We start from the raw sequence: 17105 nt of genomic DNA on the forward strand, positions 1-17105 counted from the left end.
GAGAGTATATGGGTTTGGCACCCTGGGGTGGATAGGTAAAACAATTTGGTTGATAAGGCGCAGATCCTGAACTAACCGGTAAGGCTTTTCTGGTTTTAGGACAGGTAAAATGGGGGAATTGTAAGGAGAGATTTTAGGCTCTAAAAGGCCATGGTGTAACAGGCGAATGATAACAGGCTTCAATCCCTTTAAAGCCTATTGTGGGATGGGATACTGGCATTGAGCGGGGTAAGGGTGATTAGGTTTTAATGGGATAGTAATGGGCATGTGATCGGTTGCCAGGGAGGGAGTGGAGGTGTCCCATACTTGTGGGTTAAGGTGGGGGGATACGAGAGGAAGATGCAAAGGAGGCTTTGGGTTGGGAAGAAGGGTGGCAATGAGGTGTGGCTCTAGCCTAGGAATAGTCAGGGAAGCAGATAATTTAGTTAAAATGTCTTGGCCTAATAAGGAACTGGGCAGGTGGGGATAACTAAAAAAGACTTCATAAAAGAATGTTGTCCAAGTTGGCACCAGAGTGGGGGAGTTTTAAGGGGTTTTGAAGCTTGGCTGTCAATACCCGCAACAGTTATGGAGGCAAAGGAAACAGGCCTTTGAAAAGAAGGTAATGTGGAGTTGGTAGCCTCCCTATTTATTAAGAAGGGGAAGGGGCCGGGTGCGGTGGCTCACACCTATAATCCCAGCACTTTGGGAGGCTGAGGCGGGTGGATCACGAGGTCAGGAGATCGAGACCACAGTGAAACCCCGTCTCTACTAAAAATACAAAAAAAATTAGCCGGGCGCAGAGGCAGGTGCCTGTAGTCCCAGCTACTCAGGAGGCTGAGGCAGGAGAGTGGCGTGAACCTGGGAGGCGGAGCTTGCAGTGAGCTGAGATCGTGCCACTGCACTCCAGCCTGGGCGACAGAGCAAGACTGCATCTCAAAACAAAAAAAAAAAAAAAGAAGAAGAAGAAGGGGACGGACTTAACCTCCACTGTAAGAGTTACCCAAAGCATCTGTGATGGTCCAGGAAGCTTCTGAGGCAATTGGGCAGCGTCAGCCTTCAGCCGCTAAGCCGAGAAGATCTGGGAAGGAGTCAGTCAGAGAGCCTTGGGCCAGAGTTCCAGGGGCTCTGGGAGTGGCTGCCAGGCGAGTTAGAAAGTCCGATTTCCAGTGGGGTCCCGCACAGATGGGACACGGCTTAGGAGGAATCCCAGGCTGAGGGCATTCCTTGGCCCAGTGGCCAGATTTCCAGCACTTGAAGCAAGTTCCTTGGGGAGGGGGTCCTGGAGCAATGCCTGGCCGCTGCGGTTTAGGTGTTTGGAAGTTCTTGTGTGCTGGAGATGTAGCTGGGATTTTGTCTCACGGTGGAGGCAAGTAATTGTAACTTTTCTCTATTATTGTACAACTTGAAGGTGAGGTTGATTAATTCCTGTTGTGGGGTTTGAGGGCCGGATTCTAATTTTTGAAGTTTTTTTCTAATGTCAGGAGCTGACTGGGTGATAAAATGCATATTTAGAATGAGACAGTCAGAAAGCCTGGGCCTTCAAGGTCTAGGGCTGTAAAGCATCTCAGGGTTGCTGCCAAATGAGCCATGAACTGGGCTGAGTTTTCGTCTTTACCTTGGGTAGTTTCTTTAAGCTTGTCATAATTAACAGCTTTGTAAGCTGCCTTTTTAAATCCTTCAACTAGGCAGGAAACCATGTAATCTCACCTAGCTATACTTGGGGAATCTGCCTGATAGTTCCATTGGGGATCCTCTCGGGGAACTGCGCTAATGCCTTCCTGGAGGTCTGGTTCATGGAGCCAGCGGTTGTCAGTGTGAGATTGGGCCAGAGAAAAAATTTCCTGTGAATCTGGGGAGAGGGTAGAAGTTAGGATGACATTTAAGTCACTCCAGGTTAAATTGTAGGACAGAGTTAGATATTGGAATTCCTGTATATATTCAGTAGGGTCTGAGTGCTGACTGATCTGAGAGAGGTCTGAAAGAGAAAAAGGCACATGTACCCTGACTGTGCCTTCAGCTCCAGCCACTCTCTAAGAGGAAATTGTTGGGCAGCTGGAGAAGAGCTAGTCTTGGATCCAAACTGTAAGACAGACTGGGTGTGAGGATGGGAGGTGATCGAAGGATTATAGGGTGGAGGAGCGGAGGCTGAGGAAGAATTGGACCTGGCTCAGCCTGGCGATGAGCAGCCTGGGGAGGAGGGGAGAGGTCGGATGATCTGTAGAAAAGGAAGATTGGAAAGACTCAGCGACACTTGGGGTTGGGACTGAGGGGACAGGCAGGAGGGAAAGAAGGAAGATTTGGGAGGAATCGCATTGGGTACAGAGACTAGGGAGGGAATGAAGTGTGAAAAATGCCTGGATGTAAGGCATCTCAGACCATTTGCCCATTTTTCGACAAAAATTATCTAGGTCTTGTAGGATGGTGAAATTGAAAGTGCCGTTTTCTGGCCATTTAGAGCCATTGTCAAGTTTGTATTGGGGCCAAGCGGTGTTGCAGAAGAAAATAAGGCATTTAGGTTTTAGGTCAGGTGTGAGTTGAGGAGGTTTTAAGTTTTTGAGAACACAGGCTAAGGGAGAAGAGGGAGGAATGGAGGGTGGTAGGTTGCCCGTAGTGAAGGAGGCAAGCCCAGAGAAAAGAGAGAGTGGAGACATGGAGAGAAGGATTGGGGAGTGCTTGCCCCTAAGAAAAGCGGAAAAGGGGTAGAGACACAGAGAGAAGGGGTGGGGGGTGCTTGCCCCCAGAAAAGTGGTGCTTGCTGCTATGGGTGAAGGACCAAGGCAGGCATCCCCGTGTGATCAGACACCTCTGAAACATGGGTGAATAATAAAGCAGGCATCCCTGCATGATTAAACACCAAGGGAAGACTGTCTTCCCAAGTCTGTGACCGGTGCCGGAGTTTTGGGTTCACAGATAAAACGCATCTCCTGTCTCTACCAGAAAAGGAAAGGAACTGAAATTAAGAGAAGGGAGAGATTGAAAGATGGCACCAAGACTGAAAGGAGAAAGAGGTTGAGGGATAGTGAGAGAGGGAGGAGAAGAGAATAAAAAGAGGCCGCTTACCCGATTTAAAATTGGTGAGATGTTCCTTGGGCTGGTTGGTCTGAGGACCCGAGGTCGTAGGTGGATCTCTCTCATGGAGTAAAGAGCAGGAGGACAGAGGATTGATCTCCCGAGGGAGGTCCCCTGATCCGAGTCACAGCACCAAATTTCACTCACGTCCGTGTGAAGAGACCACCAAACAGGCTTTGTGTGAGCAACAAGGCTGTTTATTTCACCTTGGTGCAGGCAGGCTGATCCGAAAAGAGAGTCAGTGAAGGGAGATGGGGTGGGGCCGTTTTATAGGATTTGGGTAGGTAGTGGAAAATTACTGTCAAAGGGGGTTGTTCTCTGGCTGGCAGGGGTGGGGGTCACAAGGTGCTCAGTGGGGGAGACTTTGAGCCAGGATGAGCCGGGAGAAGGAATTTCACAAGGTAGTGTCATCAGTTAAGGCAGGAACAGGCCATTTTCACTTCTTTTGTGATTCTTCAGTTACTTCAGGCCATCTGGATGTATATGTGCAGGTCACAGGGGATATGATGGCTTATCTTGGGCTCAGAGACCTGACATGGAGGACAAGAGTAGAACCTCTAGCTGAACCCTGACCAAGCCCTATTTTCCTTTGATCCTGAAGATGAATGATGGTTTAGATTAAACTTTCAAAACAGAAACTTAAAGATGGAAACCTGGAAAAGCTCTTTGTTTGTGACTCAGGTGCAGCTTCAGGTGACTCCTTCCATCCCAAACCTTCCCCTCTGGTACAGGAGGTCTGAGACAACCTTCCGGAACATTTTGAGAACAGGGCTAGTATTCATCTTGAAAGCTGCAATGACTCGGATCCAAAGTGCTGCACCTCCGGGTCACTTTTTAACTTGCCCTGAATTAGTTTCTTGCCTTCCTCTTCAATCCTCTCAACAAACCCAGCCTCCTACTTCATCAGCACCCAGTGGTGTCTCAAACCTGTGCATGGGAAAATGCCATCCACAGACCAGGGCTGGCCTCGGGCACCTTCTACAGGACCATCCGAGGAGCTCAGCAGAGCGACATCATTGGAAAACCTGACTTGTTCTCTCAGGACCTTGATACTTGGGACTGATGTGTCAATGATCCACGGGGAAATGACACCATCACTATGACTGTGATAGAGACTTTCCTCGATACTCTCAGGTTTCTAGCTACTCTGTCTCCATGCCCTTCCTTCAGGGAACACTTTAATCAGTTCCCTTTAGAGGAATTTCACTCCCTTGGGGAGTGAATCTTGAGCAAAATGATGTAAGGATGCGAAAAGCAGATCAAGTGCACTCATTCCCGTGGCAGGCCCAAGAGGCTGTTGACATGCTCCTGCTACCCAGATGGCCAGGGTGGCTCTGTGTCCTGTCTATTCAGACTTCCTGTTGATCCTATTACTACCTCAAAATCTGTCCAATTAATTCTGCTTAGGTTAGGCCAGAGAAGCACAGCTGAGAGGAATGGCCTGAATTCCTCCACACCAGGACCCCTGGGCCCGTGTTTGCAGCTGATGGGAAGAGGTGACATTTGCTGCAGAAGGTGGAGGGATGGGGATGCTACAGGGCTATCAGGACCCAAAGCATCTCCTTTACTCCTTTTACTCTCAAACTGCCCCTGATGAGGAGGATAGGTGAAGACTGGTTTAGTCCCAACTTTTAGTCCTTGCACAAGTTGCTTCTGCTCTCTAAGCCTTGGCTGTCTGGGCTTCTGATCTGTGAGACGAGTGCTCCGGGATCATCAAGGCCCCTTCCAGCTCTGCAGTCCCAAGCCCCACAGGAGGGCCTCGCACACTCAGTCCTGAAACACCCAGTGCTGACTTTGTAATGATAGTTTGCCTTTCAGATCACAAAATCATAAATGTTTAATTTATGGTGGCCAGGTGCAGTGGCTCATATTTGTAATCCCAGCATTTTGGGAGGCCGAGGCAGGCGGATGATCTGAGGTCAGGAGTTCGAGACCAGCCTTGCCAACATGGCAAAACTCTGTCTCTACTAAAAATACAAAAATTAGCCAGGCATGGTGGCACACGCCTGTAATCCTGGCTACTTGGGAGGTTGAGGAAGGAGAATCACTTAAACCCCGGAGGCAGAGGTTGCAGTGAGCCAAGATCATACCACTGCACTCCAGCCTGGGCAACACAGCGATACTCCATCTCAACAAACAAACAAACAAACAAGTTTAATTTATGGACTTGTTATTCATTGTTTTTGAGGTAGGGTCTCACTCTGTTGCCCAGGCTGGAGTGCAGTGATGTGATCATGGCTCACTGGAGCCTTGACTTCCCAGGCTCAAGTGATCCTCCTACCTCAGTCTCCTGCATAGCTGGGACTACAAGTGCTCACCATCATGCCTGGCTAATTTTTTTATTTTTTGTAGAGATAGGGGTCTCACTTTGTACCCCAGGCTGGGAGTCGGTGACTTTTGTAGTAGAAGATGGTGTGTTACTCTTTGCTGTCTCATGGCTCAGACTTATGCTACAGAGGCTCCTCCTGCCTTCACCACAACTTACACACTCCCTGGCCAGCCTGTGATTCGTCAGGGGTGTTTTCTAATTCTTCTCTCTCTTGATCCAAGGCCGTTTGGCAATGAGATGACAGACACCTGCCTGCCTCAAGCACTAACAGGGAATGGCCTTGCATAGAGTTAGAGCCAAGCTTTCACAAGATGGCAGGCAGAAAAGGGTCAGGGTGTGTCCCATCATCCTGCTGGATTTAGGGCAGGGAGAAATCTGTGCTGCTTGACTTTAATCAAGACATATTCAGCATTTTCCATGTGTTGACACTTTGCAAATAGTGATATCACTGTCATGAGCAGTTCTGCCTGGGGAAAACACACATTCCTAAATGCTGACTTCTTTTTTTTTTTAAACTACCACTGCATAAAGAAAAACAGCTGATCTAGCCATATTTCCACACTGAATGGTGTGTTTTCCTTCTGTATATTGCAAAGTCTAGACAGGCATGCAGCAAAGACATCAGAACATAATTACGTGAAAGTGAATGATATAAACAGTTGTCTACTCACAAGTGGTTACTTGCAAGTGGCCAGATGAAAGCCCATCCCCAGTGAGCTGTTTAAGAGTATTCCTGACAGCTTCAAAAAGCAAAGATTATTCTAAACTATATAGACAATCTGAGAAAGCAGATTTCTTAGTGAGCCCACCAGGTCAATATAAATTTGACCCTCAAATGGAAAGAGATTGCTAACAGAAGAATGAATCAACAAGTATATATGTGTGTGTGCATGTGTGTGTGTGTGTATGTATATATATATATGCATTCTTTTCAGACGGTGTCTCGGTCTGTCACCCAGGCTGGAGTGCAGTGGGGTGATCTCGGCTCACTGCAACCTCTGCCTCCTGGGTTCAAGGGATTCTCATGCCTCAGCCTCCCAAGTAGCTAAGATTACAGGTACATACCACTACGCTCAATTAATTTTTGTGTTTTTTAGTGGAGACAGGGTTTCACCATGTTGGTCAGGCTGGTCTTGAACTCCTGACCTCAAGTGATCCACCTGCCTTGGGCGGGGGGTGCATGGCAACATATTCAAGCTTATGTACAAGGCATTTGAGGTCAGGGCATGGAAAAATACTGAGGCACTGTGTGCATGTTATTTGTGCATGAGAATGAAACTCCTTGACCCTGAAAACAGGACAGGGAGTGGAGTGTGTGGTGTGATAACGAACACTGAAAACAGCCTCCTGAGAATGCCGTTTGAGTGCTTTTACAAGGCCACAGGTGTCTCACAACCCAGCCTCAAAAAAGCCATCTAGGGGGTGTTTGTGGTTTAACAAGCTCTTTCAATAAATACTTGGTGGACAGATGCTGGGGTGGACTCTGTCAGAAAAGCTGCCCCCCAGCCCTGCTCAGCTGGAATTGTCTAAGAACTCATTCTTGGCATTCACTGCAAGCTGTAAACTCTGCATGCCTTGCCTCTCAAAGTGCTGGGATTACAGGCGTGAGCCACTGCCCCCAGCCCAAGTATATTTTGAATCTACTCAATACTGTACTTTGGGTGGGCTACAAACTCATCTCTAAGGCAGATAAAATCATCATCCCTTCATATCCAGTTAGTGAAATAAAGTAATAAAAATGGCCATCACAGATATTTACTGAACATTTACTATTTGTCAGGCCCTATGCTAAGTGCTTTACATGTGTCATCTCACTCAGTCTTCAGAGTCCCATTTTATAGATGAGAAAACGGAGGCAGAGTAAGCCTGGTAACTTGCCCAAGGTCACAGCAGTGGTGTGGATGGAGCTGGGACCTGAGTTTGGGGTGTCTGACTCCAAAGTATGTGTTCTTAGCTACCCACAACCCCTTTTATTAAAGTTGACATCCAGAGGGCAGCACAGGGTAATTTGAATTTTCATGCTCATCTGTATACTTGGGTGGAAATGAATAAACTCATGTAAGGTCCAGCAAACATTTTCCGCAAGGGCCAATAGAAAATATGTAATTAGGCTTTGTGGGCAAAATCAAGGATCATATGTTGGTACTTAGGTACTAATTTAAAAATTGCAATTTTAGGCCAGGTGCAGTGGCTCATGCCTGTAATCTCAGCACTTTGGGAGGCCAAGGCAGGGGGATGCTTTGAGTTCAGAAGTTCAAGACTAGCCTGGGCAATATGGCAAAACCCCATCTCTACAAAAAACACAAAGATTAGCCGGGCATGGTGGCAAACACCCGTAGTCCCAGCTATTTGGGAGGCTGAGGTGGGAGGATAGATTGATGAGCCGGGGAGATAGAGGTTGCAGTGAGTCCTGATCATAGCACTGTACTTCAGCCTGGGTGACAGAGTGAGATCCTCTCTCAAACAAAAAACATTTCAAAAATGTGAATGCCCTTCTTAGTTCACAGGCCATAAAATCAGGAGATGGGCTGGATTTGGCCCACTGGCTATAGTTTGCACATCCCTGGCTTCAAGAAAAACAAAAAGGGGTTAATAAGGAGGAAAAAGAAGCGTGAATGTAATGTAATAAACTATCCACGTGCAAGGAGAGATGTACATCTGCTAGCCATTTTCTTGGCTACAGAATCCAATGAAATGCTTCATTTGACTACTGGGCATTTCTTTGTTCTCTGCAGGGATTGAGATTCCAAAGAGGCCAATTCAACTTAGTCTAAGGAATCAGTTTTTTTAATTATTTTTGTTTATTTATTTATTTTGTATTTGAGAGTCTCATTCTGTCATCCAGGCTGGAGTACAGTGGCACAATTTCGACTCACTGTAACCTCTACCTCCTGGGCTCCAGTGATTCTCATGGCTCATCCTCCTGAATAGCTGGGATTACAGGCCTGTGCTACCACACCCAGCTAATATTTTGTATTTTTAGTAGAGACAGGATTTTGCCATGTTGGCCAGGCTGATCTCAAACTCCTGGCCTCAAGTGATCTGCCCGCCTTGGCCTCCCACAGTGCTGGGATTACAAGCATGAATCACCACACCTGGCCTAGGAATCCGTTATTTAATAGCCATCACGACCCTCAGATAGAATGAACATCTCCCAGTGGTTCCTGAGGTCTCACCTGTGTGTTTTCATCCTCTGCTAGGCCATGGGCAAGGTGGGCACTGAATGTGCTTTTCCCAACACTGCCTTTCCCAAACAATACCAAGATTTTGTGTTTTATGGTTTTCATTTTCTCTTTGATTTCCTCTATAGCTGCAAAGAAAGCCAAAGTTTAGGGGATGAGGTTTCTGACCGAACCTCGAATGTCACTCTTTCAGTAAGCTAGGAAGAGCTAAGTCCTAGTCCTGGGGCTGTTTAAAAGTATCCTCTGAAATACCTCTTAGTCAACAGTAGAAGTAAGTGCTAGGAAGAAAATAAGGCTATTATCACACTTGAAAGTGCCTCATTTATTGGTTTACACATTTGTCTCCCCCAACTAGAACATATTCTCCACAAGGGTAGGGACTGTCTGAAGCTTTCAGTGATGTATTCCCAGCTCCAGAAGAGAACTTTGCGTATAGTAATGGTCTCCAACTAGGGGACAAAATCCCCCAGGGACATTTAGAAATGTCTGGAGACCTCCCCCTCCCCCTCCCCTCCCTCCCCCCCCTCCCTTCCTCTCCCCTCCCTTCCCCTTCCCTCCCCTCCCCTCCCTTCCCTTTCCTTCCCCTCCCCTCCCCTCCCTTCCCTTCCCTTCATTTTTTTTTTTTTTTTTTTGACAGAGTCTCACTCTGTCATCCAGGCTGGAGTACAGTGGCATGATCTCAGCTCACTGCAACCCACCTCCTGGGTTCAAGTGATTCTCCTGCCTCAGCCTCCTAAGTAGCTGGGATTACAGGTGGCTGCCATCAAGCCTGGCTAATTTTTGTATTTTCAGTAGAGACGGTGTTTCTTTATGTTGGACAGGCTAGTCTGGAACTCCCGACCTCAAGTGATCCACCCGCCTCGGCCTCCCAAAGTGTTGGAATTAAAGGCATGAGCCACTACGCTCAGCCTGGAGACACTTTTCATTGTGACAGGAGAGGTACTGCTGGCATCTGATGGGTAGAGGCCAGGGATTGTGCTAATTGTCCTATGATACAGAGGACAGCCCCCCACAACAAAGAATAATCCTGCTCCAAATGTCAACAATGTGGAGGGTGAGAAACCCTGATAGATAGCAGGCACGTACTAAGTATCTGTCAATGAAACTATCTCATTTCAAATCCTTAACACACGAGGTATAATGGAAAATAAAATGTCTCATTACTGCTCAAATTCAAGTGAAAGTTAAGCCTGGAAACCTCCCAACACTGCTGTCCTCCTCCCCATCAACAGACAGCTGTTACTTCCCAACCTTGGATCAAAGCATTCTACATTAACTAGACCCCTGCAAAAGGCCAAAGGCCTCATGCATCTCCATCGTGGGATGACTGCCCTCACAAATTGCTCCTAAGGAGCTTCTTTGATGGCCCCTAAACCTTTGAAGATGAATATCCTCCCATAAACAAGGACATGTTAACTGTAACTTTAGGACTGTAACCTCAGTCTAACTCCTTGTCTGCTACTGATGTCTGTTAAATGTCACATTGATGATGTCCATCCATTACAAGCTTATCTTCTCACATGCCAAACAAAGACAGGATAAGATTAATCCTTCCTCTCCTACCCTGAGACATCTAATTAATTCTTCTTTTACTCCCTCTTTTGAATGTTTACCTTATCTTCTGTATAGCATAGATATACTGGGCTCTAATTTAAACCTCACAGGAATTTAACTAACTGCCTCAAGGCCTACTGCACTTTTTCCTGCATGCTTTTTCCCCTTTTAAAGAAATATATAAACACGAGCCTCCTGGAACCTCTCCAGGGAGCACAGGCCACAGACATTTCTGTGTTTTCCAGAGCATGCCCTCAAGCTCTGGCTCAATAAACCTCCACTGGTAGAGATGGTTCAGTCTCTCCATTGGATTGACAAGGTAACTATTTTTCTCTCCATTTTTTTTTTCTTTTGAGACAGGGTCTCACTCTGTCACCCAGGCTGGGGGGCAGTGGCATGATCTCAGCTCACTGCAACCTCCACCTCCCCAGTTCAAGTGATCCTCCCACCTCAGCCTCAAGAGTAGGCACGCATCACCATGCCAGCTAATTTTTGTGTTTTTAGTAGAGACAGGTTTCACCATGTTGGCCAGGCTGGTCTTGAACTCCTGACCTCAAGTGATCCACCTGCCTCGGCCTCCTAAAGTGCTGGGATTACAGGCGTGAGCCACCGCACTTGGCCTGTCTCCATTTTTGATGAGGAACCAGAAGCTCAGAGAGGTTATGACTATTGCTGATGGTCACACCACATGGACCCAAGAATCAAACCCAACTCTCTCTTTGAACTCCTTCAAGATTCTCCCCCTTGGCTGGGTGTGGTGGCTAACACCTGTAATCCCAGCTTTGGGAGGCTGAGGCAGGCAGATCACCTGAGGTCTGGAGTTCAAGACCAGCCTGGCCAGCATAATGAAACCCTGTCTCTACTAAAACTACAAAAATTAGCCAGGAGAGGTGGCGGGCATCTGTAGTCCCTGCTACTGGGGAAGCTGAGGCATGAGAATCACTTGAAACCAGGAGGCGGAGGTTGCAGTGAGCTGAGATCATACCACTGCACTCCAGCCTGGGCTACACAGTGCCGAGACCAGCTCGGTTGTGGAGACCCTAACCCAGCAGTGCTAGAGGAATTAAGACAAAGACACAGAAATAGAGTGCAGAGTGGGAATCAGGGGGCTGACAGCCTTCAGACCTGAGAGCCCCGAACAGAGTTTGACCCACATACTTATTGACAGCAAGCCAGTGATAAGCATTATTTCTATAGATCATAGATTAGCTGAAAGCATTCCTTATGGGAAACAAAGGGACAGGCTCTGGCTTGTTATCTGCAGCAGGAACATGTCCTTAAGGCACAGATCGCTCATGCTATTGTTTGTGGTTTAGGAACACCTTGAGCGGTTTTCCACCCAGGGTGGGCCACGTGTTCCTTGCCCTCATTCTGGTAAACCAACAACCTCCAGCGTGGGTGTCATAGCCATCACAAGCATGTCACAGTGCTGCAGAGATTTTGTTTATGGCCAGTTTCTCATGGCCTGTTTATGGCCAGATGTGGGGGGCCTGTTCCCAGCAACACAGCAAGATTCCCTCTGGAAAAAAGGCCAGCGGGGGTGGTGGGAAGAAAAAAAAAGATTCTCCCCCTGCCTCCTGCTTTTTAAGGTCCTTCTGAGCAGGCTCCTAAGGTCCTCCCATCCTTGAATCTGTGCTTCACAGCACTTAAAGCTGTGGTGGTTTAGTTGCTAGCTCACGTGTTTATATTTCCCCTGTTAAGCTAAACTCCACTAGGGCAGTGACCATGCCTGATCCCCAGCTGTGTCCCCAGCACAGCACAGTACCTACGAGGCGGTCAACACACTTCTGTTGAATGAACGGAAGAATCACTCCTCAAAAGGAAGAAAATTATGTCAAGAAAATAGCTGGCAGAGCCAGGATTTAAGTCTGAGGACTCCCTGACTTTGAAGCTTATCCCATTTTCTCTGTGGTCAGTTATTGTCACTCAAACTTCTGTCCCGGATCCTCTTAATTAATGTCCCTTCTGATGCTGCACAGGTTAGTCTTGGCCTCCATCCGTGCCACATCCTTTGCTCTCGCCTTCTACAGTCCTCCTCCCTGTCACTCATTTCAAGCTCCGCCCTCACGCTGCCTACTTTTCATGCTCAGCGCCCTCTAGGCCCCACTCCTCTCCGTATACAATACCTTCTAGCCCGTACCCATCACTCATTCTGCAGATCCCGCTCCCTCCCTCCCATGTGCAGCCTTTTCCAGGCCTGCGCCTCTCACTTCCTGTTGAGGCCTTGCCTTTTTCTTACCCGGGTCTGGGGTAGCCCCCACTCCAGAAGTGCACAGCCGCTGGTTGGGGCATCCCTGACATGAAGCACCTTGGCCTCCCTGGGCACTGAGGGCCCCTGGAAAGTCTGCACAGAGACAAGACCACAGTTACAGCAGCTCGCTACAGTTTTGCCCTGCCACCCACGCCTCCTCCAGGAACTCACGTGAGGCACCTTCTCCATTCTGTCGCCTTTGCTGCCTTTGTGGTCACCGGAACTGCTGTCGTGCATTTCCGCCTTGCAGGTACAATCCGATTCTCCGGTGCAAAATAAGTCTCCAAAAGAGAGGGCTGTGGGCACGCGTGAACCTTGGGCGGAGCGACTGGGACTCACTTCTGTTCCTTTTCAGGGATTTCCTATCATACATACTTCGGCAGTGCATCTCCTAAGAACACAGGCATTCTTCATGACCTCAGTGTCATTTTCATACCCAAGAGATTTAATATCGATGCAGTACTATTAGTCAATAGACAGTTTATATTCCAATTTTAATTGTTCCAAATAAGACCCCTCCCACCCTAGATTCACTCATTGCCTGGAGTTACGTCTCTTTGGTCTCCTTTAATTCAGATCAGTCCTTCCTTTTTTTAGGGGGAGTCTCATCACATTGATAATTTTGACAGCTCCAGACCCGTTGTCTTATAGAATATCCCATAATCTTGATTTGTCTGATCCTCTCCTCACTCTTGCCCCGTCATTAGATTCAGGTTAAGTATTTTTTGTTGTTGTTTTTTTTTCCTGCAGAACACACTTGGATAATGTCAATTTGTCCCGTTTTTGGTAATGTGAAGCTTGATGGCTTGGTAAAGGTGGTGTCTGCCCCATTTTTCCAGTGAATGGTACCCTCTGCCATTTGTAATTAACAAGTATTCTCTGGGGTGATGCACTGAAAGACCATGTGACCATCTTCTTCCCTATCAGCCTTTCACTGAGTGATTTTAGCAGCATTGATGTAATATATATAACTATAGATACAGTTTCATATATGATATCTATATATATATCTATATATCAGTTATATACCCTCTCTTTTTTTTCTTTCCTTTTTTTTTTGGAGTCTCACTATGGATTCCTGGATTTTTTTTTAATTTGTCTTTTATAATAAATTATTATTATGCTTTCTGGTCAATTTTTCCCCCCAAGTGTGGTCAGTGAAGCCGCTTCAAGACAGTTCTTATGTTCTTTGGGCACTAATACAACTTCTTTGAGCATTTTCTTGCTTTCTGATACAATAAGATATTTCAGTCATCCCTTCTCACTGCTGCAGTCATTTCTTCGGGGAGCCTTGGTTACTTTTAGCAGACAACAGTTCAGAAACCAAGATCTGGATGCCACAACTACTCATTGCTACTGGAATGTCATTGATCACAGGTTTGGCACCTGGAATATTAATGAGTGAACAAACTTTACCTGGCCCCAGACACTAAGAATATAGAAACATTTATTAAACTGCAATGTATCAGTTGCCTGTCAGTACTACTAATTATAGCCAGCATTTTGTAGAATACTTACTATTTGCCATCTACCATCTTTGTGCTTTCGTGTGAATTACCTAATTTATGTCCTTTTATAGTCCTACTGTCTCCATTTTGGATGAGGAAACTGAGGCTTAAAGTAGTTAAACTACTTTCCTAAGGTCACACGACTGGTGGCAGGGGAACCATGGTGATAAAACTGGTCTGTCCGGCTGCAGAGCCTGCACTTAGTAACACATGGTCCCAGCCAGCACTGAGTTAGATTCCAGACTGACCTGCCCCCTGCCATCTGGAGCCCAATCTGGTCAGGAGAAGAAGAACAGAGTGATGGGCCATCAGCAAAGGCCTGGAGAGCAGAGAGGAAGTCACCTATCAGGTAGGGACTATTGTCATTTCCATCTTACAGGTGATAAGATGGCTGCCAAGATTTACTTGCCCACAATCTGAGAGGCAGTAAAGAGCAGAACTGGGTTTTTAACAAGGTCTGATACAGGGCCTTGGCTCTTAATCACTATACTATACATTGGAGGGCAGGATGCAAGTTATTCTTTTTATTTTTATTCTCTTTTGAGATGGAATCTCACTCTGTCACAGTTGCTCACTGCAACCTCCGCCTCCTGGGTGCAAGCGATTCTCCTGCCTTGGCCTCCCAAGTAGCTGGGACTCAGGTGCCTGCCACCACGCCTAGCTAATTTTTTGTATTTTTGGTAGAGACAGGGTTTTGCCATGTTGGACCGGCTGGTCTTGAACTCCTGACCTCAGTTGATCCGCCTGCCTTGGCCTCCCAAAGTGCTGGGATTATAGGCATGAGCCACCGTGCCCTGCTGCAAGTTATTCTCCTTTCGCTGAGGAAACTGAGGGTCAGAGAGGTGAAGTGACTTGCTTAAGTTCTCACAGCCAGCAGGCTCCACTGGAACTCTTCTGACCACAGGATCTTTTTCCTCTGTCACACTTCAGAGGCTTGAGACAGGTAAATTTTTTTTTTTTTTTTTTGAGATGGAGTCTCTGTTGCCCAGGCTGGAGTGCAATGGCACGATACTGGCTCACTGCAACCTCCGCCTCCCAGGTTCAAGCGATTCCCCTGCCTCAGCTTCCTGAGTAGTTGGGATTATAGGCACACATCACCATGCCTGGCTAATTTTTGTGTTTTTAGTAGAGACGGGGTTTCGCCATGTTGGTTAGGCTGGTTTTGAACTCCTGACCTCAGGTGATCCACCCACCTGGGCCTCCCACAGTGCTGAGATTACAGATGTGAGCCCATCTCAGGTACTGTGGTGCCTGGCTGAGACAGGTCCATTTTGTTCTTCCTTCCTGATGTCCCTTAAGACATTTCCTGGCGGGCTCCTCCTAGCTGTTTCCAGCAGTGACATCACTTTAGATCTCTCTTTTGTCTCTAGTCACACAGGGTTCTCCCACTCTGCACTCAGTGAGTCTTTGCACAGTGGCAAGGAAGAAATGCCTACTGTTTTTTGTACCTTTCCCTTGCTTCTCACCCCTCCCCACAACAAGGCTATTAAAATGATCAAGTGTTCCACACACAAAAAAAAACCCCAAGAAAATGAAGTAAACCTTCTCTCAACCTTGCTCCAGGTTTCTCCCACTGTCCCCCTCCCCCAGCCAAACCCCCATCTCACCTGGGATGGAATTTTCCATCCCTAGTATTGGGAGCAGAAGGACAGAGCCTAGATTGCAAAGCAGATTCCCAGGCCCCATCCCTGGCCTCCTGAATCAGAAACTCAGAGCTGGGCAGGAATCTGATCTGCATCTTGATGGTCTCAGCAGATGGTGATCACATCCACTAACACCTGAGGACCACTTCTTTTTTTATTGTTATTTTTTTTTGGGGTGGGGTGGTGGGGGTGCGATGGAGTTTCACTCTTGTTGCCCAGGCTGGAGTACAATGGCATGATCTTGGCTCACTGCAACCTCTGCCTCCCGGGTTCAAGCGATTCTCCTGTCTCAGCTTCCTAAGTAGCCGCGATTAGAGGCGCACACCACCACGCTGGGCTAATTTTTGTATATTTAGTAGAGACGGGGTTTCACTATATTGGCCAGGTTGGTCTCAAACTCCTGACCTCAGGTGATCCGCCTGCCTCGGAATCCCAAAGTGCTGGGATTACAGGTGTGAGCCACCTCGCCGGCCAGGACCGCTTCTTAAGGTGAGTGCTCCCCAAGACTCTGTTCTTGGGACACTTCCAGTCCCACTTCCCACTTCCTCCTGGGCAAGCAGCTGATAGCCCTGACACCATCCATCGTCTGTCTCTAGCTCCAGCACCTCTTTCTCTGTAAGTTCAGATCTGTGTATCCTACCTTGTGCCTATTGGATTTTATTGCATGGATGTCCCACAAGCATAACAAATAAATGTCTGCAACTTTTTCTCAAGCCAGTTCCTGCCTCTGGGTTTCTTATCCCTGGAAAGGGCGTTGACCCCTGGGCTAAGAACTCAAGCCATAAATCTGAGCATCAGCCTTGCTTAGTTTTCTCCATTTTCATCAGTTATCAAGTGCTGTGTAACAAGTCACCCCAATATGTAATGGTTTAAAACCACCATGGTTTATTGCTTCCTGTGACTCTTCTGGTTTCACCTGGGCTCCCTTAATGTGGCTTCATTCGACTGGGGGTTGGCTGGAAGGTCCCAAATGGCCTCACTCTCCCACTGGCCTTGATTCCCTCCTAGTGGCCTCCCTCTCTCAGTATTCAGTGGTCTAGCCTGAGTACCTTTAAATGGCAGCTGGGAATGACAAAGCTGGGAAGTGGCAGTCACTTTCACCATATTCTCTCCGTCAAAGCATCACAGGGGCAGCCCAAGTTCAAGGGCTGCAGACACAGACTCCACCTCTTGATGAGTGGGGTGGCATACCTATACAGGGATGGGGGGCAATGTTGTCCATAGAGATGCCCACAGCACCCCCTGTATCCAATCGGACATCAGGCCAGCAGCTGCGCCCCCAGGTGGTAGACTGGTAGCACACATGACCTCAATTCTTTCCCCCATCTGGATCTGTGCCCTTGGCTGTCTAACTTTGCCCTCCTACGTGTGGGGAGGGGGTTCTATTCTACCCCTTAACTCTGGGCTCAGGCATGTGACTTATTTTAGCAAATGTGACACAAGCAAAAACTTATAATAGGGCTTTTGCCTGTTTCACTCTCTCTCTGGCTCTCCTGCAATCACTAGGAGAAGGTCTGGGTTGACCCACGGGAGGTAAAACATGTGGAACTGAGCTGAGCCACCTCAGTGCTCTCAGCCAAGGCCATC

General features: G+C 47.5%; 1 protein-coding gene across 2 annotated transcripts in view, besides 1 other annotated feature; it reads left to right on the plus strand.

The window, feature by feature from the left end:
* Window positions 1-17105, plus strand: part of SLC25A48 (solute carrier family 25 member 48) — a 309466-nt gene that overhangs the window by 154728 nt on the left and 137633 nt on the right. The gene's annotated exons all lie outside the window — the stretch shown is intronic.
* Window positions 979-1478: an enhancer, noted in NCBI's record as "H3K4me1 hESC enhancer chr5:135070567-135071066 (GRCh37/hg19 assembly coordinates)". NCBI's record gives its function as "activates a minimal SCP1, AML or CMV promoter by ChIP-STARR-seq in naive H9 embryonic stem cells {active_cell/tissue: H9 hESC(naive)}" and the evidence as "EXISTENCE:reporter gene assay evidence [ECO:0000049][PMID:30033119]".

The sequence above is a fragment of the Homo sapiens genome, chromosome 5 (assembly GCF_000001405.40).
Source record: "Homo sapiens chromosome 5, GRCh38.p14 Primary Assembly".
Classification (NCBI taxonomy): Eukaryota; Metazoa; Chordata; class Mammalia; order Primates; family Hominidae; genus Homo; species Homo sapiens.